Source organism: Homo sapiens, chromosome X (genome assembly GCF_000001405.40).
Source record: "Homo sapiens chromosome X, GRCh38.p14 Primary Assembly".
In the NCBI taxonomy this organism is placed as follows: Eukaryota; Metazoa; Chordata; class Mammalia; order Primates; family Hominidae; genus Homo; species Homo sapiens.
Window position 1 is genome coordinate 77,510,982 of NC_000023.11, and position 25,119 is coordinate 77,536,100.

The 25,119-nt window shown below is 37.6% G+C and overlaps 1 protein-coding gene across 9 annotated transcripts in view; it reads right to left on the reverse strand.

Moving 5' to 3' along the window:
* Positions 1-25,119, reverse strand: part of ATRX (ATRX chromatin remodeler) — a 281,337-nt gene that overhangs the window by 6,102 nt on the left and 250,116 nt on the right. For all 9 annotated transcript variants that reach the window (XM_005262156.5, XM_005262157.6, XM_006724666.5 and 6 more), the window contains 4 exons: positions 12,271-12,420; positions 11,282-11,407; positions 10,422-10,517; positions 9,807-9,935 (listed from right to left, as the gene is read on the reverse strand). In XM_005262156.5, coding sequence (XP_005262213.2) covers positions 9,807-9,935; positions 10,422-10,517; positions 11,282-11,407; positions 12,271-12,420 — 501 coding nt within the window. The remainder of the gene's footprint in view (positions 1-9,806; positions 9,936-10,421; positions 10,518-11,281; positions 11,408-12,270; positions 12,421-25,119) is intronic.

The following is a 25,119-nucleotide window of genomic DNA, read 5'->3' on the forward strand; positions in this document are numbered from 1 at the left end:
TGAGACCCATTGCTATGCAGGCTTCAGGTCTAACCCAGTGTGGTCCCCGTGAAGGGAGCCAGAGGGGTGCTTGTGTCACCTCTCCACCAGCTTTCCAGACAGCTTAGCACAGACAGAGAGAGATTCTGTTTGGGAGAAAGTAAGGGAAGAGAACAAGAGTCTCTGCCTGGTAATCCAGACAATTCTTCCAGATCTTATCCAAGACCACCAAGGCGGTACCTCTATGAGTCTCCAAGACTACAAGAGTCACAGCATTACCCGGTTTGGGATGCCTTCTAATGCAGATACAGATGCAGTGACCATTAGATCACAATATCCAACTCCCTTTGAATACCTAGAAAGCCTTCCCAAGAAGGATGGGTACAAACAAGGCTAGACTACAAAGATTATAATAAATACCTAACTCTTCAATGCCCAGACACGAATCAATGTCCACAACCATCAAGACCATCCAGGAAACACGACATCACCAAACGAACTAAATAAGGCCTCAGGGACCAATCCTAGAGAGACAGATACATGTGAATATATGTGACAGAGAATTCAAAAGAGCTGTCTTGAGGAAATTCAATGAAATTCAAGATAATATGGAGAAGAAACTGATAATCACATCAGATAAATTTCACAAAGATATTGAAATAATTTAAAAGAATCAAGCAGAAATTCTGGAGTCAAAAAATGCAATTGACATACTGAAGAATGTATTAAGAGTCTCTTAATAGCAGAACCGATCAAGGAGAAGAAAGAATTAGTAAGCTTGAAGACAGGCTATTTGAAAATGTACCATCAGAGGAGACAAAAGAAAAAAGAACAAAAAACAATGAAGCACATCTACAAGATCTAGAAAATAGCCTCAAATGGGCAAATCTAAGAGTTATTGGCCTTAAAGAGGAGGCAGAGAGACAGATAGGGGTATAAAGTTTATTCAAAGGGACAACAACAGAGAATTCCCCAAGCCTAGAGAAAACTATCAATATTCAAGAAAAAGAAGGTTATGGAACACCAAGCAGATTTAACCTAATGAAGACTACCTCCTACCATTTAATAATCAAACTCTCAAAGGTCAAGGATAAAGAAAGTATACTAAATGCAGCAAGAGAAAGGAAACAAATAACATACAAAGGAGCTCCAATACATCTGGCAGTAGACTTTTCAGTAGAAAACTTACAGCCCAGGAGAGAGTGACATGAGATATTTAAAAGGGGTGAAGGAACAAACAAACAAACAAACAAAAAACTTTTACCCTAGAACATCATATCTGGTGAAAATATGCTTCAAATGTGAAGGAGAAATAAAGACTTTCCCACACAAACAGAAGCTGAGGAATTTCAATATCAAACCTGTCCTACAAGAAATATTAAAGGGAGTTTCTCAATCTGAAAGAAAAGGATGTTAACAAACAACGAAAAGTTACATGAAGGTATAAAACTCACTGGCAATAGAACATTAGTTTTCTCTTTGCTTGTTTGTTACTTTGTTTGCTTGTTTATGCAATCAGTGTTATCATCAGCTTAAAATGATGCATTACATTATTTGCAAGCCTCATGGTAACTTCAAAAAAACAAACATACAACAGATAAACAAAAAACTATAAGCAAGAAATCATGCCGGGCGCGGTGGCTCAGGCCTGTGATCCCAGCGCTTTGGGAGGCCAAGGTGGATGGATCACCTGAGGTCAGTAGTTCGAGACCAGCCTGGCCAACATGGTGAAACCCTGTCTCTAGTAAAAATGTGAAAATTAGCTGCGCATGGTGGCGGGTGCTTATAATTCCAGCTACTCAGGAGGCTGAGGCAGGAGAATCGCTCAAACCCGGGAAGGCAGAGATTGCAGTAAGCTGAGATCATGCCACTGCACTCCAGCCTGGGCAACACAGTGAAACTCCGTCTCAAAAAAATAATAATAAAAGAAATTAAAACATACAACCACAGAAAATTGCTTTAACTAAAAGGATGATAGGAAGAAAAGAAGGAAGACAGGGATCACAAAACAACCAGAAAACAAATAACAAAATGGCAGGAGTAAGTCCTAACTTATCAAGAATAATGGGGTTGGAGGCTGGGCACAGTGGCTCACGCCTGTAACCCCAGCACTTTGGGAGGCCGAGGCGGGAGGATCACAAGGTCAGGAGACTGAGACCATCCTGGTTAACACGGTGAAACCCCGTCTCTACTAAAAATACAAAAAATTAGCTGGGCGTGGTGGCGGGCACCTGTAGTCCCAGCTACTCAGGAGGCTAAGATAGGAGAATGGCCTGAACCCGGGAGGCGGAGCTTGCAGTGAGCTGAGATTGCGCCACTGCACTCCAGCCTGGGCGACAGAGCGAGACTCCGTCTCAAAAAAAAAAAAAAAAAAAAAAAAAGAATAATGGGGTTGGGCAAGATGGATGACTAGATGCAGCAAGGTGGAAAAGCTGCCACCGAAAGACAAGGATGACTGGCACACTCCTAACAGATCTTCAGAGAGAAGGCAATGAGAGTGGGCGGAGGGAAGAAACAGAAGCTTGGTTGGAGGAGGAAGCTGGGAACCCTGAATGGGGCTACCGCACACCAGGACTCATTCCTGGCCCACAAGAACTCCAGGGGAATGAGTGAGTTGAAGTGGCAAGAAGCAACTGGCTCTTGCCTCGGGCCTCTGGAATTCCGCCAGGAGGAGACCCACAGCCAACATTATACTGAATGGGCAAAAGCTGGAAGTATTCATCTTGAAAACTGGCACAAGACAAGGATGCCCTCTATCACCACTCCTATTCAACATAGTATTAGAAGTCCTGGGCAGAGCAATCAGGAAACAGAAATAAATAAAGGTTATCCAAATAGGAAGAGAGAAAGTCAAACTATCACAGTATGCAGATGCCATGATTCTGTATCTAGAAAACTCTAGTCTTGGCCCAAAATGCTTCTTAAGCTGATAAACAAGTTCAGCAATATCTCAGGGTACAAAATCAATGTACAAAAATCAGTAGCATTCCTATACACCAACAAAAGTCAAGCAAAGAGGCAAATCAGGCATGCAATCCCATTCACAACTGCCACAATAAAGAATAAAATACCTAGGAATACAGCTAACCAGGGAGGTAAAAGGTCTCTACAATGAGAACTCCAAAAGACTGCTAAAAGAAATTAGAGATGTCAAAACAAATGGAAAAACATTCCATGCTCATGGATAGGAAGAATCAATATTGTTGAAATGGTCATACTGCCCAAAGCAATTTATACATTCAATGCTATTCCTATCAAACTACTAATGATATTCTTCATAAACTAGACAAAACTATTTTAAAATTCATATGGAACAACAAAAAAAAGGTTGAATAGCCAAGGCAATCGTAAGCAAAATGAACAAAGCTGGAGGCATTATGCTATACAACTTCAAACTATACTACAGAGCTACAGTAACCAAAACAGTGTGGTACTGGTACAAAAAGACACACAGACCAATGGAACTGAATAGACAGCTCAGAAATAAGGCCACACACCTACAACCATCTGATCTTTGACAAAGTTGACAAAAACAAGTAATGGGAAAAGGACTCCCTACTCAATAAACAGTGCTGGGGTAATTGGCTAGCCACAGGGAGAAGATTGAAACTGGACCCCCTCCTTACACACCATATACAAATATCAACTCAAGATGCATTCAATACTTAAATGTAAACCCGAAAACTATAAAAACCCTGGAAGACAACCTAAGCAATATAATTCTGGATATAGGAATGGGCAAAGATTTCATGATGAAGATGCCAAAAGCAATTGCAACAAAAGCAAAAATGGACAAATGAGATCCAACTAAACTCTGCACAGCAGAGCTTCTGCACAGCAAAGGAAACTATCAACAGAGTAGAGAGACAACCTACAGAATTGCAGAAAAGTTTTGCAAACTATCCATCTAGCAACTAATATCCATTATCTATAAGGAACTTAAAGAAATATAGAAGAAAATAACAACCCCATTAAAAAGTGGGCAAAGGACATGAACAGACACTTTGCAAAAGAAAACACACACGTGGCCAACAATCATATGAAAAAAAGCTGAACATCACTGATCATTAGAGAAAGGCAAATCAAAACCACAATGAGATACCTTACACCAGTCAGAATGGCCATTATTAAAAAGTCAAAAGATGCTGGTGAGGTTGTAGAGAAAAAGGAATGCTTATACACTGCTGGTGGGAGTGTAAATTAGTTCATCCATTGTGGAAAGCAGTGTGGTAGTTCCTCAAAGAGCTAAAAACAGAACTACCATTCAACCCTGCAATCCTATTACTGGGTATAAATTCAAAGGAACATACATTGTTCTATTATAATGACACACGTATATGTTCATTGCAGCACTATCCACAAAAGCAAAAACATGGAATAAAGCTAAATGCCTATCAATGGTAGACTGGATAAAGAAAATGTGGAAATAAAAAATAAAAATAAAGAAAAAGTTCAGGAGGGGTGAAAAAAAAAAATCCACGTGTGTAAAGGTGTATTCTAAATGTGCCTTTCTTCCTGATACCTACAGTGACTGAAGCTCTAGATACATGTGCCCTCTGCCTACTCATACTCACGTCCCCTCATACGGCATTCATTACGGAATGCCCCATTATCAAGTTCCACAGCAAAAATTGAGGCGTTGCATCCTGTGATTTCCAAACCTCAGCTAGCAGAGCCATAGCCTGCTACTAATGCCTCTGCATTTGGTTTATTGAACGCAGCTCATCACAAAGAGTCTGACAAATTCAACATGTTATAGACAACTAGAGCTTTTCTCATTCCAACAGTAGCTGACTCAACTATTAGAAATCTCAGAGATCAAAAATCTACTTTCTCATTCTCGGCTTGTAAAGCTGAGCCCAGATCTCAGCACACATTTTCAAGACTGTTGTCAATCTATTTATTTAATTTTATTAATATCTTCTATAAACCTAATAATAAGAACAAGATCATGTCCTTTGCAGGAACATGGATGGAGCTGGAGGCCATTATCCTTAGCAAACTAATGCAGGAACAGGAAACCAAATACCATATGTTTTCACTAAAAAGTGGGAACTAAATGATGAGAACACATGAACACATAGAGGGCAATAACAGACACTGGGGCTGACCAGAGGTTGGAGGCTGAGAGGAGGGAGATGATCAGGAAAAATAACTTATGGGTGCTAGGCTTAATACCTGGGTGACAAAATAATCTGTACAACAAACCCGTGACACAGATTTACCTATATAACAAACCTGCACATGTATCCATGAACTTAAAATGAAAGTTTAAAAACAGAATAACAGTGAATATAAATGGACTAAACTCTCCAATCAAGACATATAGTGTCTGAATGGATTTTTAAAAAAGACCCAACCATCTGTTTCCTGTAAGAAATACATTGTACCTATAAAGACACATATACAGTGAAAATAAAGGGATGAAAAAAGATATTTCATGAAAATGGAAACCAAAAAAGAGCAGGACTAGCTATACTTACATCAGCCAAAACAGATTTCAAGACAAAAAATATAAAAAGAGACAACGATGGTCATTATATAATGATAAAGGGGTCAATTCAGCAACAAGATACAACAATTGTAAATATATGTGCACCCAACACTGGAGCACCAGATATAAAAAGCAAATATTATTAGAGCTAAATAGAGAGACAGACCCCAAAATAATAATAGCTGGAGACTTCGACACCTCAACTTTACACATTGGACAGATCATCCAGACAGAAAATCAATAAAAAAAACCAACGGACTTATTCTGCACTATAGACCAAATAGATATTTACAGGACATTTCATCCAATGGTCACAGAATATACATTCTTTTCCTTGGCACATAAATCATTCTCAAGGAAAGACCATATATTAGGCCACAAAACAAGTCTTAAAACATTCAAACAAATGAAATCATATCAAGTTTCTTCTCTGACCACAATGGAATAAAACTAGAAATCAATAACAAGAGGAATTTTTGAAACTATATAAACACATGAAAATTGAACAATATGCTCCTGAATGACCAGTGGGTCAAAGAAAACATTAAGAAAAAAACTGAAAAACTTCTTAAAACGAATGATAAAGGAAACACAACATACAAAAACCTATGGGATACAGCAAAAGCATTACTAAGAGGAAAGTTTACAGCTCTAAGTGCGTGCATCAGAAAAGAAAAAAAAAACAAACACCTACCAATGCATCTTAAAGAACTAGAAAAACAAAAGAAAATAAAACCCCAAATTAGTAAAATAAATAATAAAGATCAGCACAGAAATAAATAAAAAGTTGGTTTTTTGAGAAGATAAACAAAACTGACAAACCATTAGCCAGATTAAGAAAAAGGAGAAGATTCAAGTAAATAAAATCAGAGATCAAAAAGTAGATATTAAAACTGTTACCAAAGAAATTCAAAGGATCATTAGAGGCTCCTATGACAAACTACATGCAAAAAATTGGAAAACCTAGAAGAAATGGATAAATTCCAAGACTCATACAATCTACCAAGATTGAAACATTAAGAAATCCAAAATCTGAACAGAGCAGTAACAAGTAACGAGATTAAAGCTGTAATAAAAAGTCTTCCAGCAAAGAAAAGCCTGGAAACCAATGTCTTCACTGCTGAATTTTACCAAACGTTTAAAGAAGAACTAATACCAATCTTCCTCAAACTGCTGTGACAAGTAGAGGAGGAGGGAATACTTCAAACACATTCTATAAGGCCAGTAACACCTTAATACCAAAACCAGACAAACACATCAAAAAAAGAAAACTACAGGGCAATATCTGAGATGAACATTCATGCAAAAATTCTCAACAAAATAATAGCAAACACAATTCAACACCACATTAAAAAGGTGTTGTTGAACATGACCAAGTGGGATTTATCCAAGGGCTTCAAGGATGATTTAACTATGCAAATCAATCAATGTGATACATCAAATAACAGAATGAAGGACAAAAACTGTATGATAATTTCAACTGATGCTGAAAAAACATCTGATAATATTCAAGATCCTTTCATGATATAAATCCTCAAAATACGGTTATAGAAGGAACATACCTCAACACAATAAAAGCCATATATTGACAGACTCACAGCCAGTATCGTACTCAATGGGGAAAAACTGAAAGACTTTCTTCTAAAAATTGGAACACAACAAGGATGCCAGCTTTTACCACTGTTATTCAACATAGTTCTGCAAGTCATAGCTAGAGCAATCAGACAAGAGAAAGAAATAAAGGGCATCCCAGTTGGAAAAGAAGAAGTCAAATTATCCTGTTTGCAAATGTTATGATCTGGTATTTGGAAAAACCTAAAGACTCCACCAAAAATATTTTAGAACTGATAAACAAACTTAGTAAAGTGGCAGCATACAAAATCAGCAGCATTTCTAAATGCCAGCAGTGAATAATCTGAAAAAGAAATTGAGAAAGTAATCCCATTTACAGTAGCCACAGTCAAAATTAAATACCTAGGAATAAACTTAACCAAAGAAGTGAAAGATGTCTACAATGAAAACTACACAATGCTGATGAAAGAAATGGAAGAGGGTACAAAAAAATGAAAAGATCTTCCATGTTCATGGATTGGATAAATTAATATTGTTAAAATGCCCATACTACCCAAAGCAATCCATAGATACAATGCATCCTTATCAAAATACCAATGACATTCTTCACAGAAACAAAAAAAAAATTCTGAACTTTTCATGGAACCACAGAAGACCCACAATAGGCAAAGCTGTAGTGAGCAAAAAGAACAAAACTGGAGGAATCACATTACCTGACTTCAAATGATACTACAGAGCTACAGTAACCAAAACAGCATGGTACTGGCATAAAAACAGACACACAGACCAAGAGAACAGAAGTGAGAACCCAGAAACAAATCCACACACCAGTAAACTCATTTTTTGCACAGGTGCCATGAACATGCATTGAAGAAAGGACAGTCTCATTAATAAATGGTGCTGTGGAAGCTGGATATCCATACGCAGAACAATGAAAGAAGACCCCAAGCTCTTGCCATATACAACATTCAAATCAAAATGGATTAAAGACTTAAATCTGAGACCTCAAACTATGAATCTACTACAGAAAAACACTGGGCAAACTGTCCAGGACATTGAACTGGCAAAGATTTCTTGAGTAATATCTCACAAGTACAGGCAACCAAATAAAAAATGGACAAACAGGATACCACTAAGTTAAAAAGCTTCTGCACAGCAAAGGAAACAATCAACAAGGCGAAGAGACAACCCACAGAATGCGAGAAAATATTTGCAAGCTATCCAACTGACAAGGGATTAATAACCAGAATATATAAGGAGCTCAAACAACTGCATAGGAAAAAAAATCTAATAATCAGATTTAAAAATGGGCAAAATATCTGAATAGATATTTCTCGAAAGAAGACATACAAATGGCAAACAGGCATAGGAAAAGGCACTCAACATCATCAGTCATTAGATAATGCAAATCAACACTACAATGAGAGGCTGGGCATGGTCACTCACGCCTGTAATCCCAACACTTTGGGAGGCTGAGGTCAGAGGATCGTTTAAGCCCGAGAGTTTGAGACCAGCCTGGGAAATATAGTGAGACCCCGTCTCTACAAAACCAACCAACCAAACAAAAAAGATAATGAAATATCATCTTACCCCAGTTAAAATGGCCTTTATCCAAAAGACAGGCAATAACTAATATTGGTGAGGATGTGGAGAAAAGGGAACTTGTGTACACTGTTGTTAGTAACGTGTATTAGTACAAGCACTATGGAGAACGGTTTGGAGGTTCCTCAGAAAACTAAAAACAGAGGTACTATATGATTCACCAGTCCCACTGCTAGGCCTATACCCAAAAGAAAGGAAATCAGTATATTGAAGAGGTAGCTGCACTCTCATGTTTATTGTAGCACTGTTCACAACATTAAGATTTGGAAGCAACCTAAGTATCAACCAACAGATGAATAAACAAAGAATATGTGGTACATATATACAATGGAGTACTATTCAGCCATAAAAAAGAACGAGATACTGCCATTTGCAATAGCATGCATAGAATTGGAGATCATTATGTTAAGTGAAATAAGCCAGGCATAGAAAGACAAAGTTCATATGTTCTCACTTATTTCTGGAAGCTAAAAACTAAAACAATTGAACTCATGATGATAAGAGAGTAGAATGGTAGTTACCAGAGGCTGAGAAGGGTAGCAGGGAGTGGGGTAATGGGGGATGGTTAATAGGTACAAAAGTATAGTTAGAATGAATAAGATCTAGTATTTGATACCACAACAGGGTGACTACAGTCAAAAATAATTTATTGCACATTTAAAAATAACTAGAAGAGTATAACTGGATTGTTTGTAACACAAAGAAAGGATAAATGCTTGAGGTGATAGATATCCTTTACCCTGATGTGATTATTATGCACTGTATACCTGTATCAATATACCTTATGTACCCCATAAATATATATACCTATTATATACTCACAAAAATTAAAAGTTAAATAAAATACAATTGGCAAATGTGGTAAAACTCTGGCAAAAATTCCTACGTAGATGTCCAGAATATATGAGAAATAAAATTATATGGACTAGATCATATGTAAACTTCAAGGATTCCCATTTAGGTAGCTGTTGCATTTTTGTAACAAAATATATTACTTTTACTTGACATTCCTGGGTTTTTTACATTTCTTCCAGAATTATCAATGACTATCCATCCCTCCATAGTAGGAATAATTACTGACGTAGATGTCATACAAACTTATTATAAAGTCAAGAAAATTAAACATAACCTAGAAATAGTCAGACGTCAGAATTCTTACCATCTGTTGTTTTGTCAATACATCATTGTAGATTGCTTCTCTTCGTTTAACATCAAGCTCCTGGCTGGCTTGTCTACTTAATGCTAACGCCTGTACTTGGGCCTCTGAGAGATTCATGTTCTCCTTCCACTAAAAGAAAAATTTTCTATTTACTCCTTATTACTGTACAATTGAGGAAAAATAATTAAGGTATTTTAAGATATTCGGGATTTCCCAAGGTTTCAAACCCCCCTTTTCCTTTATTCTTTTCTGAAGAAAAACATGATGCAAAACAGGGTACTAAGTTGTTCACTGCTGTACCTGGGCTGGCTATCTCTGGAATGAAACAATAATTTAGATTTAATTTGTACAACTGGTAATTAAAATGTTTATATAAACAATGCATACATTTCCATGTTTGATTTCTCAATTCTTACATTTTACCCATTTCTCTCTTGTGCCAACATCTATGTAAAATTGCTGGGTTACGGTTTGGCATTATCCATCCATTTTACCAGTATTTTACTATTGCAAATCAATTTATAAGAAGGAACAATTAAAAATTTAAAAAAATGGCAGTAGGGGGTGGAGGGTACAAATTGGAGGTTGGAATAAGACAATTGCCAATTAGCTTACTACAGCTGAAATTATATCCTCAAGAGGTTGAATCCTCACTGCTGTCACACTGTTTGTTGCTTCTACAACTTTTTCTCTTCCTTGATTAATGAGGTCCTAGAAGAATGCAAGAAATAAGTTATATAAGGCAGAAAGACAGCATAGTGTTAAAGTATAGGGAATCCTTCCATTTGCCAACTTAGAGCAGTCGGTTTTAAAACTCTTTAAATAATTGAAGAGAACAGCAAAATTCAGTATCAATAAAGTGGAGTAAACCATATCAATGCTCAAAGAGTCTTGTTAGGAAGATTAAAAAAGTTTGAGTTTTATCACACCAATAATTTAATAATGCAGAAGAATCCATAAGCACATTTTATAATGTGTTTCAGATTCAATTAAGTCATTATTGGTATAATAAAAACCCAGTCTTTCCTATTTAATTTACAATTGATTCTAGCTTTAAATCATTTATTTCATAATATTGGGCATTATATATTTAATTGTGCATCTATAATGCACTAGAATAGAAGTTAATGAGTATATTTATCTTACTTTCAAACAGTAAGATAGCAATTTATTATAACTATTTTATAACTGAAGAAGGTGCTATTTCCCAAGCGAGTCAGCAGCCCTATTGTTTCTTAATTAAAATAATTCAAACTACATTAATTCACCGACTGATTCCTTTGTGCTCTGAACAAACCACATTTTACAACATCATGTTGGTTCAAAACGGTCAACAAATAAAACAAAAATTTATTCGTCTATTCAGGGGTAATCTTTTGGAGAATGTGATATTTCTGCATAGGGAACCCTCAACAACAAGGCACTTGAAATTGCCTTTAATTCATGTCAAACTACTTTTGTACTTCACAACTCACCTCCAGCTGTTGATTACTCATTGCTGACAGGGCTCCCAAATTGAAAGGAATATAAGGAGTTTGAGAGTTGAAACTGACAGGGGGTAAATTGGTCCCAGTTGGTATGTTGAAACGCATGGTCAGTCCCTAAAAACAAAAAAATTATGCACTTTTCACATTGTGATTTAAAACTTGAAATTCTACATCACCTACTGGTTTAGAAAAGAATCCACATTCTCAGATCCAGGAAATTATTAACACTCTTCCACACACAAACAAAACACCCTTTTCACCCGAAACCAAGATCTTATTACAAGGAAAGCTTTAACCCCTAAAGGTGTACTTTTTTTTTCTGATAATTCCCACAGAATGGGGGCAACTCAAAGAATTCTGATGAGACTCTGAACATCACACTAATGTTAAAGAAGTTTGGTACAATAAGTTAGGAGTTTGAAAAGGATTCAGGTATTAGGATAAGGTTTCCCATGCTCAGGCACATTTTTGCTCAAGTGGGTTGATGTTTAAAACAGACATAGAATGATCTTAAATAAAGTTGCTGCTGGAGCAAATGGCATTAATGTCTAATAATGAAATATTTTTGTGTTCTGATATTCAGCCAAAATTTAGATTTCATGGTATACATGCAAAGCTACATTTACTACAACCTCCAAACACTAAGCTCCTGTATGTTTGTTACTACAGAGAGGGTACTGATGGGAGGTTAGTGATGCTAAATATATGGCTTCCCACTCATTTCTCAATTCAACAAATACTAGGCAGAAATGGGATTACTACTCTTTAAGTGTAAACTGTTTTCTTCTGTCTTCTCCTCCTACTCTACCACTAAAGGTAGCTGAAACCAACCCATAAAGAGATTCTTGTAATTGGGGAATGTGTTCCTAAAACCCACTATATTATTATTACCTGTTTCAAATGTGACCCTTTTCTTCTTCATTGCTCTTTCAAATCACTAACATAACAAAAACAAAAACACATTTTGCATCAACTACCTTCTTCTCTGCTTCATACTCAGCCCAAGCTGCTTTTCTTTCTTCTTCAGTCAACTCTTCTTCTTCTTTGTGGTCCAAAAGAGAATCATGTTCATGGTATCCTACAATGTGTTCTTTATGTATCTGAAGGAGCTCTGCAAGTATGGTATCCTGTTTAGAGGGGTTGAAATAAGAGACAATTATTTTTCCCCTCTGGACAGTATAATATCTCCATAGTTCTATGGTCAACTGTACTAGAAACTAAAACCTGATTGCTATATATATTTCTGATATATATGACAGATTACCTAAAAAACAGCAGCAAAACATGTAACACCAGCCTCTTATGTAAGACTTTCATGTTTATACAGTATGGTTTAGGCATTCCATTGTTTTTTAATTACCACTTTTCAGATTTCAAGGTCTTTCCACCAACTTAACATTTTTTATATGCATTTTATTTTGTGCTTAATTCTGAGTTGATAAATGCTAACATAAGTCTGCTTAAATTAGTGACTATATTGGATGCCTGTGCTAGAAATCAAGGCTACTCCTATTTATACATCATAAACAACTTTATTTTCACAATCATTTCAACTGCCAACCACTATATTAACAAAAAACTAATCTAAATTAATCTAAACAGTTATAGGAGAGTTTAACTGAAACATATAGCCCTTATATTCCAACTGCAGGAATGTAAATGTTAAATTACACTGTAAAGACCCATGGGTCAAATTTAAATTGATATACATTTTTCAATTTATTATCATAGTATATATAGTTTAAAGAAATCATGGTATCTTAAGCCAGTCTTTTAAGATTAAAAAATTAAAAGCTTAAAAATTGGGATCATTTATATACTCAGTAAGAACAACTAAACTCCTGCTCTGTTTAATTATGACTGTGAGAGTGAGACACAAAGATAGATGGGGTGGGGGTTTAAAGTGAATTACAGATATGTTACTTTTAATAAATTTAAAATATTCACAAGTTGTTCATTAAGAAATCACATATGAAAACCTGGATCTATAAAAGGCAAATTAATTCACTTTACAGAAGGATTTTCCATAGCTTTTAACAAGTTTTCCTAGAACACACTTTCTAAATTGTGCATTTCTGATCAAATGAAAGTAGTGGAGGTATACATACAGCACACTGAATTCAAATTTAATCTGCACCTAGTGATGCTTAATGCACTCATAAATTTTTGCATAGACAAAGCCCACATTTGAAAATAATTATGCCTTTACACACCTTGAGTATAGGGTCCAAAAAGTGGTAAGAACTCAAATGTGCATTAAATAACTCAAGATGAAAAATTCAAATCATGAGGCCCCAGGTTTTTTTTCTATATAATAGCAAATACTGACACTAATTCCAAATATTCTGATATTTAATATCTTGTAAACAACTTTTTATCTTGCTACCCCAATAAACATTTGAAACAATTATTTCCTTTCTTAACAGAACTGATATTCTTAATAGATACAACCATAATAGAGACTTTATAATTCTTTTTTTTTTTTTTTTAAGATAGGGTCCCATGTTGTCACCCAAGTTGGAGTGCAGTGGTTTGATCACAGATCACTGCTGCCTTGAACTCCTGGGCTCAAGTGATTCTCCTGCCTCAGCCTCCCGAGTAGCTAGGACTACAGGTGCATACCACTGTACCTGGCTAATTTTAAAAATTTTGTAGACATAGGATCTCAGTATGTTTCCCAGGCTGGTTTCAAATTCCTGGCCTCAAGTGATCCTCCCACCTTGATCTCCCAAAATACTGAGATTACAACAGGTATAATCCATTTTGAGATGTATGTGTGTGCTATTTCCTTTGTTGAAAACAAAAAACAATAAAAGACCATACAAATGACAGGACTCAATAAAGTCTACTGATAGAATACATGGATGCTAACAGGCTTAGTTACTTTGAAATGTTAACTAAATGCTTCTCTCTCACGCCAATGTAGAAACTTGCTATCGAAGCTGACTTCTCTGGCTTATGCCACATACAATAGGTTTATCATCACTAGATCAATCTCCAAAGTCCACTGTTACTGACCAGGCAGGCAGGAAGACAGGCCAATCTGCATTAATTTATTCTACTAAAAGATAGGGCTTTCTTAAATGTGTAACTCCTATGCCCACCCCCCCAACACATACATGCCAAACATGACTCAAGAGATAAAATAAAACCAGATAACACTGACTTAACATTTTTAACACATTTACCAAATACAATGAGAAAAGTCAGGTGTTCTACAACACACCAAATAAATTACAAGATTAAAATGTTCTATGGATAATCTCTAATTTTACTTCTGTCTAGCAATAAATGATCTTAATCATAGTCAGATCAGTTCATTTCTCTAAGAAAGCAAACTGGTTAAGAGAAAGGCCAAGAAAACTGTATACTAGGAACTAATTCATTTCTATCTGTGCTACTGATTCTTTCAATAACATTGGATAATAACTTAGTCTAGCTATGACTGTAAATTAAATATGGATGATACACACATTCTCTGCTCACGTGTGTAACAGGATGATATGAAAATACCAGGAATAAACAAAAGCACAAAAATACCCAATTCTTTGGAAATAGACATTGTCAAGTGTGGTATTTATTTCTCAATTATAAACAACACAATTTATAACATTAATTATATATTTAATGGTTGGAGGGGAAGCCTTTCCAGAAATGCATGTGCACATACACATATACACAAACTCATATACAGCCTTTTAAAAAATGTCTGAGATACCAGGAAAGCTTTATTAAGTCAGTCCTTAGCATCCTAAAATTTCTAAGTCCAACTGTGTCATCATAGAATTAGTAGAAATTGAGGCCCAAAGAGGCAAAGTAACTTTTTCCGATTATACAGCTAAGGACTACCTGGGACTGGAAACTAAATTTCCTGGCTCCTATGCAGTGATGATTCTATCACACCACAAAGAATGTCTGTTTTATTGAGATACAGTTCCTCTACTTCCCAGAACTATTCCCTTAGAAAAAAAAAGGTAATTCAATGAAAGATTCCAGGGGAGGGGGAACTTATGTCTATTTTCTTACTTTTAGCACTTTTTAACTTTTATTTATTTATTTAGAGACAGAGTCTCACTATTGCCCAGGCTGGAATACAGTGCTCACTGCAACCTCCACCTCCCAGGTTCCAGCGATTCTCCTGCCTCAGCCTCCTGAGTAGCTGGAACTACAGGTACTCGCTACCACGCATGGCTAATTTCTGTATTTTTAGTAGAGATGGAGTTTCACCAAGCTGGCCAGGCTGGTCTCGAACTCCTGACCTCAAGTGATCCACCTGCCTCGGCTTCCCAAAGTGCTGGGATTTCAGGCATGAGCCACTGAACCTAAAAGTACTTTTGTACTTTTTGAACTTTTTAAAACAAGCATGTTAATTTAATAAAAGAAAACATAAAAACTGAAACAATGACAAGTCTCAAGACAAACTTGTGAAAGGCCAGTTCAGGCTTATACTATGCCTGAAAATAATACCACGCACTATTTTACCATTTTCATCTTCAGGAGACACTTATTTTGAGAAACGCCATTTCTAAACCCCTTTAACGTATTCACCCCACTAATTCCAGATTTAAAACCTATCCTATCAAGTCAGACATGACTGTCTAAGGTCAGGTTATGGTGAAGGTTCAGCCTCTAATGATGCAATAACTTTCCTTTTGACTTACAGTCAACTGAAATGCCAATGTAAGTCACAGGAAAAGTACATGTGAATTTGTTTGTTTTCTATCTTAAAAAGTTTCAGATTTTTTGCCTAAAACATTACCTCCATCCTGGCTACTATAATCCTCTTTTCAAAGAACCGAACAAAACAAAGAAATGCAAACAATACTAACATCCAATTACAAAACCAGGAAATAACTACCAGTACCATTTTTTATTTTATTCCTCCACACATTGACACACACACACCTTTGCATAAAAATGGAACTGGACAAAGGGCAAGATGGCTGATGAGAAGCAGCTGTGGTCTGTGGCACTCACAGAGAGGCATGAAAAGGGGTGAATGAATCCAATACCTTCAAATGAAATATCCAGGTTCTCACATTGGGACTGAATAGGCAAAAAGCATGGAGAGCAAGGAGAAGGGCTACGGCCCATCCAGGAGCCACGTGGAGCAAAAGGAACCCCCACCCCCAGCCAGGGGAGGCAGTGAGTGATTGTGCAACCCGCTCAGGAAGCCACCACGCTTCTCCCATGGATCTTTGCAACATGCGGAGCAGGAGATCCTGTTGTGAACCCATTCCACCAGGACCTTGGGTCTGATACACAGAGCTGTGTGGAGTCTCAGCAAAACAGCAGCTCAGGCGCACACAGAGATCTGGGAGTTCTGCATGCTCCTGCCCCGGGATCCCCGCCAAGGCATAAAATCCATCCATATACATCCCTAGGAAGGGGTCTGAATACAGGGAGCCAAGCAGCATGGCTCGGCAGGCCCCATTTCCATCGCACCTCACAGGCTAAGACCCACTGGCTTGGAATCTCAGCTAGCCAACAGCAGAGGGCTGAAGTCCGCCTGAGACAAGACCAAGTTCCAGCGGGAGGGGCGGTCGCCATCTCTGCAATTCAGGGGAAATAGCCAATACAGCCTGCCAGCTGTGAAGAGTGGACACGGCCCAGAGGAGGAGGGGCCGCCCACAGCGCAGTGCAGTGGCCTTGCCAGATAAGGGGGCCAGACTGCTTCTTCAACCAGACGGACCCACTCCAAACTGAGCAGGACTTCCCATGCAGGGTCAGAGATCTGATCTCTCGCTGGGAGGGAGCTGGGGGTGGTGGGGGGGTGGGGGGCGGCTGATATCTCTGTGGTTTCTGGGGACTCAGTTGTTCCAGCCTCCCCGTTGTGGAGAGTGCAGACCACCCAGACAAGGAGCACCCCCTCCTTCCCCGCACAAGGCACAGCGCAGCTGCCTTGCCAGATTGTAGCCAGACTGCTTCTTTGACAGGTCCCGACCCACTCCTGCAGACAGAGATCTGATCTCTCCATGGGAGGGAGCTCCCCAGGGGAGGGCCAGCGGCCATCTCTGTGCTTCCGTTAAATCAGCCATTTCAGCTTGCTGGTTATGGAGAATACAGGTGGTACAGAGGAAGAAAAGGGTCCACCCCAGTGCAACACACCTGCTCTACCAAGAAGCAACCAGACTGCTTCATTGGGTGGGTCCCTGATCCCATCCCTCCTGACTGGGTGAGATCTTCCAGTGCAGGTTGCCAGCCGCCTCCTGCAAGTGCTGGAGAAGCCGAGGAAACTAGGGTCTGGAGCAAACCCCCAGCTAACCACAGGAGCCCTACAGTAGGGTGGCGTGATTGTTAAAAGAAAAACAAACAAACAGAAAACAACAGCAGCAATGTCAACAACAACAAAAAAAGGCCCCGAAAAAAAACCCATTCAAAGGTTAGCAACCTCAAGGATCAAAGGTAGATAAGCCCACAAAGATGAGAAACAATCAATGCATAAATGCTGAAAACTCAAAAAGCCAGAGTGCCTTTTCTTCTCCAAATGACTGCAACACCTCTCCAGCAAGAGCACAGAACTGGGCTGAGGCTGAGAAGGATGAAATAACAGAAATACGCTTCAGAAGGTGAGTAATAACAAATATCGCTGGGCTAAAAAAAAGCATGTTTTAACCCAAGGCAAAGAAGCTAAGAATCACGATAAAACAATACAGGAGCTGATAGCAAGAATAGCCAGTTTAGAGAGGAACATAACCAACCTGATGGAGCTGAAAAACACAACATGAGAACTTCACAATGCAAACTATCAATAGCAGAAGAGACCAAGGTGAGGAAAGAATCTTAGAGCTGGAAGACTATCTTTCTGAAATAAGACAGGCAGACAAGAATAGAGAAAAAAGAATGAAAAGGAATGAACCTCTGAGAATTATGTGATTATGTAAGGAGACCAAACCTACGACTGACTGGGGTCCCTAAAACTGACAGGGAGAGTGGAACCAAGCTGGAAAACATACTTTAGGATATCATCGAGGAGAACTTCCACAACCTAGCAAGACAGGCCAAATTTCAAATTCAAGAAATGCAGAGAACCCCAGTAAGATATTCCACGAGAAGATCAACCCCAAGACACATAATCATCAGATTATCCAAGGTCGAAATGAAAGAAAAAATGTTGAGGGCAGCCAGAGAGAAAGGCCAGGTCACTTACACAAAAGAAAGCCCATCAGACTAACAGCAGACCTCTTAGTGGAAAACCTGTAAGCCGGAAGAGATTAGGGGCCAATATTCAACATTCTTAAATAAAAGAAATTCCAGCCCAGAATTTCATATACAGCCAAACCAAGCTTCATAAGCAAAGGAGAAATAAGATCCCATTTAGACAAGCAAATGCTGAGGGCATTCATCACTAGCAGGCCTGCCTTGCAAGAGGTCCTGAAGGAAGCACTAAATATGGAAAGAAAAAACCATTATCAGCCACTAAAAAAAACACTGAAGTACACAGTCCAGTGACACTATGAAGCAACCACACAAACAAGTCTGCAAAATAACCAGCTAGCATCACGATGATGCTAAAGCAGATTCATAAAGCAAGTTCTTAGAGACCTACAAAGAGAATTAGACTCCCATACAATAATAGTGGGAGAGTTTAACACCCCTCTGACAATATTAGATCATTGAGACAGAAAATTAACGAGGATATTCAGGACCTGAACTCAGCTCTGCATCATGTGGACCTGATAGATATTTACAGAACTCTTCACCCAAAAACAACAGAATATACGTTCTTCTCATTGCCACACAACACATACTCTAAAATTTATCACATAATAGGAAAATACTCCTCAGCAAATGCAAAAGAACTGAAATCATAACAGTCTCTTAGACCACAGCGCAATCAAATTAGAACTCAAGAATAAGAAATCCACTCAAAACCACAGAACTACATGGAAATTGAACAACCTGCTCCTTAATGACTCTTGGGTAAATAATGAAATTAAGGTAGAAATCAAGAAATTTTTTGAAACTAATGTGAACAAAGAGAAAACACATCAGAATCTCTGGGAGAGAAATTTATAGCACTAAAATGCCCACATCAAAAAGCTAGAAAGACTGGGCACAGTGGCTCACGTCTGTAATCCCTGCACTTTGGGAGGCTGAGGCGGGTGGATCACTTGAGGTCAGTAGTTCGAGACCAGCCTGGCCAACATGGTGAAACCCCATCTCTACTAAAAAATACAAAAAATTAGCCAGGCGTGGTGGCAGGTACCTGTAATCCCAGCTACCTGGGAGGCTGAGGCAGGAGAATCCCTTGAACCCAGGAGGCGGAGGTTGGAGTGAGCTGAGATCGTGCCATTGTATTCCAACCTGGGCAACAGAGTGAGACTCCGTCTCAAAACAAACAAACAAACAAACAAACAAACAAAACAAAACTAGAAAGATTTCACGTTAACAACCAAACATCTCAACTAAAAGAACTAGAGAACCAAGAGCAATCAAACCCCAAAGCTAGCAGAAGACAAGAAACAACTAAGATCAGAGCTGAGCTGAAGCAAACAGAGACATGGAAAACCCCTAAGAAAAAAAAAATAACAAAAGAAATTCAACGAATCCAGGAAGTGGTTTCTTAAAAAAATTAATAAAATAGTTAGACCGCTAGCTAGGCTAATGAAGAAAAGAAAGAAGAATCAAATAAAATAAAAATCAAATAAAAAATAAAATCAGAAATAAGGGGGACATCCCCACTGACCCCACAGAAATGCAAACAACCGTCAGAGAATAATATAAATACCTCTGCGCATATAAACTAGAAAATCCAGAAGAAACAGACAATTTCCTGGACAAACACACCCTCCAAGACTGAACCAGGAAAAAACTGAATCTCTGAATAGACTAGTAACATGTTCTGAAATTGAGGCAGTAATAAATAGCCTACCAGCCAAAAAAAGCCCAGGACCAGATGGATTCATAGCCGAATTCTACCACAGGTACAAAGAGGAGCTGAATACTGAAACTATTCCAAAAATTACAGAGGAAGGACTCCTCCGTAACTCATTCTATGAGGCCAGCATCATCCTGATATGAAAACCTGGCAGAGATACAACAAAAAAAGAAAACTTCAGGCCAATATCCTTGATGAACATTGATGCAAAAAAATCCTCAATAAAATAATGGCAAACTGAATGAAACCAGCAGCACATCAAAAAGCTTATCCACCATGATCAAGATGGCGTCATCCCTGGAATGCAAGGTTGGTTCAACATATGGAAATAAATAAATGTGATTCATCACATAAACAGAACTAAACACAAAAACCACATGATTATCTCAATAGATGCAAAAAACATCTTCAATAAAATTGAGCATGCCTTCATTGTTTAAAACTCTCAATAAACTAGGCATTGAAGGAACATATCTCAAAATAATATGAGCAATATACGACAAACCCATGGCCAATATCATACTGAATGGGCAAAAGCTGGAAGCATTCCCCTTGAAAACTGGCACAAGACAAAGATGCCTTCTCTCACCACTCCTATTCAACGTAGTATTGGAAGTCCTGGCCAGGGCAATCAGGCAAGAGAAAGAAATAAAGTATATTCAAATAGGAAGAGAGGAAGTCAAAATATCTTTGTTTGCAGATGACATGTCCCTATAGCTAGAAAACCCCACTGTCTCAGCCCAAAAGCTTCTTAAGCTGATAAGAAACTTCAGCAAATTCTCAGGATATAAAATCAATGTGTAAAAATTACTAGCATTCCTATACACCAACAACAGGCAAGCAAAGAGCCAAATCATGAATAAACTCTCATTCACAATTGCTACAGAGAGAATAAAATACCTAGGAATACAGCTAGCAAGGGGGAAGTGAAGGACCTCTTCAAGGAGAACAACAAACCACTGCTCAGGGAAATCAGAGAGGATACAAACAAATAGAGAAACATTCCATGCTCATGGATAGGAAGAATCAATAGTGTGAAAACGGCCATACTTCCCAAAGTAACTTACAGATTCAATGCTATTCCCATTAAACTACCACTGACAATTCTTCACAGAATTAGAAAAAAAAAACTATTTGAAAATTCATATGGAACCAAAAAAGAGCCCAAATAGCCAATGAATCCTAAGCAAAAAGAACAAAGCTGAAGGCATCATGCTACCTGATTTTATCTATACCACAAGCCTACAGTAACCAAAACAGCATGGTACTGGTACAAAAACAGACACATCGACCAATGGAATGGAATAGAATAGAGAACCCAGAAATAAGACTGCACACCTACAGCCATCTGCTCTTTGACAAACCTGACCAAAACGAGCAATGGGGAAAGGATTCCCTATTTAATAAGTGGTGCTAGGAGAACAGGCAAGCCATATGCAGAAAACTGAAACTAGAATCCTTCCTTACACCATACACAAAATTTAACTCAAGATGGATTACAGACTGAAATGTAAAACTCCAAACTATAAAAACCCCAGAAGAAAATCTAGGCAATACCATTCAGGATATAGGCATGGGCAAAGATTTCATGAGAAAAACACCAAAAGCAATTGCAACAGAAGCCAAAATTGACAAATGGGATCTAATTAAACTAAAAAGCTTCTGCACAGCAAAAGAAACGATCATCAGAGCGAACAGACAACCTACAAAATGGAAGAAAACGTTTGCAATCTATCTATATTACAAAGGTATAATATCCAGAATCTACAAGACATTTAAACAAATCTATGAGAAAGAAACAACCCCATTAAAAAGTAGGCAAAGGACATGAACAGACATTTCTCAAAAGAAGACACACTTGTAGCCTATAAACATATGAAAAAAAGCTCATCATCACTGATCGTTAGAGAAATGCAAATCAAAACTACAATGAGATACCATCTGATGCCAATCAGAATGGCTATTACTAAAAAGTCAAAAAACAGCAGATGCTGGAAAAGTTGTGGAGAAAAATAACACTTTTATACTGTTGGTGTTCAACCATTGTGGAAGACAGTGTGGCGATTCCTCAAAGACCTAGAGGCAGAAATAACATTTGACCCAGCAATCCCATTACTGGGTATATACCCAAAGGAATAGAAATCATTCTATTATAAAGATACATGCATGCGTATGTTCACTGCAGCACTATTTACAAAAGCAAAGTCATGGAATCAACCTACATGCCCATCAATGATAGACTGGATAAAGAAAATGTGGTACATATACCAGATGGTACATATACACACTATGCAGCCATAAAAAGGAACAAGATCATGTCCTTTGCAGGGACATGGATGGAGATGGAAGCCATTATTCTCAAACTAATGAAGGAACAGAAAACCAAACCCCACATGTTCTCACTTATAAAGTGGGACCTGATCGATGAGAACACATGGACACATGGAGGGGGACAACACACACTTGGCACCTGTGGGGGGTTGGGGGAGGGAGTGCATCAGGAAGAATAGCTAATGGATGCTGAGCTTAATACCTGGGTGATGGGATGATCTGTGCAGTAACCCACCATGGCACACATTTACCTGCATAACAAAGCTGCACATGTATTCTGGAACTTAAAAGTTGAAAGAAAAAAAATGGAATTGAAGTATATGTAGTTTTGAAACATACTCTTATCTCTTAATACCTTTCCGTGGATATCATTTTACATCAAATCCAAACCTTCATCATTTCTAATAGCTGCACAGTGCTTATATAGTTATACTTTATCATCTATTTAATCATTCCCTTACTTAAGAGTTTATTAAAACATTAAGACTGCTTCCAGTTTTTATTACCAAATCTGCGAACAAGGGTTAATGAATAAAGTTTAATGTATTTCAATCACTTCTTTATATGATTATGCCAAAAAATTCAAAGACTAAAGATAAGCATGCTTTCCATAATTTTCATTTTAACAAAGAAAAGACCGTGCAAGTAAGTTAACTGGTTTTTTAAATTGAAAATCATTTATGTAGTTCATAAGCAGGAAGGCAGAAGTCTTTCTTTCCTCCAGAGTGCTATGTAAGACATGAATAAGAGAAAAAAAAGACATAGGATTTCTGATACAAACTGTTTCTAAATCTTCCCCTTTTAAATTAATAGCAGCATACTATCAATATAAGAAACAAATAATGAAATTAAGGGGACAAAAAAGTATTTGTAACAGGATCTTCAGATTATTTCTTTGGGAAAAAACAGTTTTGCAAAGTCCAGAGCAAGTTATAAAAGTTAATAAAGAAAATTTCATCCCAATACACAACACAACTGGTGGAAAGGTTTTTGTTTTATCCTGTAAAAGCATGCATTTATATTAGTTGCTAGAGTAACACTATTATTGAAAACAATAGTGGAGCAGAATCTATAATCACTAAGCCAACAGTCATCAAAATGAGATTTAAATTACATCCAAATGTGTACCTTTACTTTTCTTTGTCTAAACTTTTTTTTCCTTAAATAAGTGAAAAAGCTTATACACAGGGAAAAGCAAGGTCTATATTCTAGCTCACAATCTAAATTAGTTTAAGCTTTTAAAACGACTAGTTCAATTAATAAAACAAAATTAATGATAAATTATAAGTTTAAGTTAATTTACTTAGAAGTTTAAAGTATTTGGCAAGCTGACAAAAATTCCCATCTAATTAATTCTGAAATTCAACCTTGAAAATAAAATATCTAAAAAAATAATCAAGGCTTTGCCTGGGGGTAAGGGAGGGGGTTTGCCATGTTTCAAAAATATTTTGCTTGCCATTACTTTCAATTTGAGTTTTGTAATATCTGGAAATAAAATCACCAGAATACTTAACTGCCACATGACCCACTCAAAAAGCTATGAAAAATTCCTTTTATTGCTTAAATAAATCTAGCTTCTTAGTAAAGAAATTTAATATTCCTGGTCAAAAAGCCTCTACTTTCAAATTTGAAGGTTCTTTCTTCCCAAACTACGCTGGAAAAAATGCAGTGAATTTGATAAGTAACTAGAGAGCTTATTGAATGAAATTCACATAACACCTTGTATCAGATTTTTTGGTCACGAGCACATAACCTTTGCCAAAGAGCATTTATAAATATATCCAGATTCCCAAATTGTTGGTATGAATAAGATAGTGACAACTACAGAACTTATCACTTTAAATGAAAGAAAAGGCAGGCCTGCCAAAATGACTTAGGTGGAAGGTAAAAGCCTCCTTTGATAAGAATGTTTTCTCCTTAACACTTAAAGAACTAGATACTATATTTAGCAATTTACCTTTAAAAATTGGATATCCATTACAACTATTACATATGCCACATGCCACTGTGAGGTAGAAAGTCATCATTCTAGATTTTATATGACTGCAGTGACATTCTAGAGGTTGCAGCTTTCCAAGTATAGCCTGAATCGAAACTCAATTTTCATTCTACACAATCTTGAGTTAACATTTCACAAACATTGTTACATTCTCTAACTCAATTATAGGTACAATGTAAAAAGGAAACAGAAGATATGAAATAGGAATGAAAGCAGCTATTTAGCAGTTTAAATTATGTCTTTTTTTTTTGAGACAGAGTCTCACTCTGTCACCCAGGCTGGAGTGCAGTGGCGCAATCTCAGCTCATTGCAACCTCTGCCTCCTGGGTACAAGCAATTATCTTGGCTCAGCCTCCCAAGTAGCTGGGATTACAGGCGCCTGCCACCACCACATGCCTGGCTAATTTTTTTGTGTTTTTTTTTTTTTGTATTTTTGTAGATACAGGGTTTTACCATGTTGTCCAGGCTGGTCTTGAACCCCTGACCTCAAGTGATCCGCCCACCTCAGCCTCCCAAAGTGCTGGGATTACAGGTGTGAGCCACCATGCCTGGCCACATCTTTTGTTTTTTAAGAGACAGGGGCTCGCTATGTTACCCAGGCTGGAATGCAGTGGC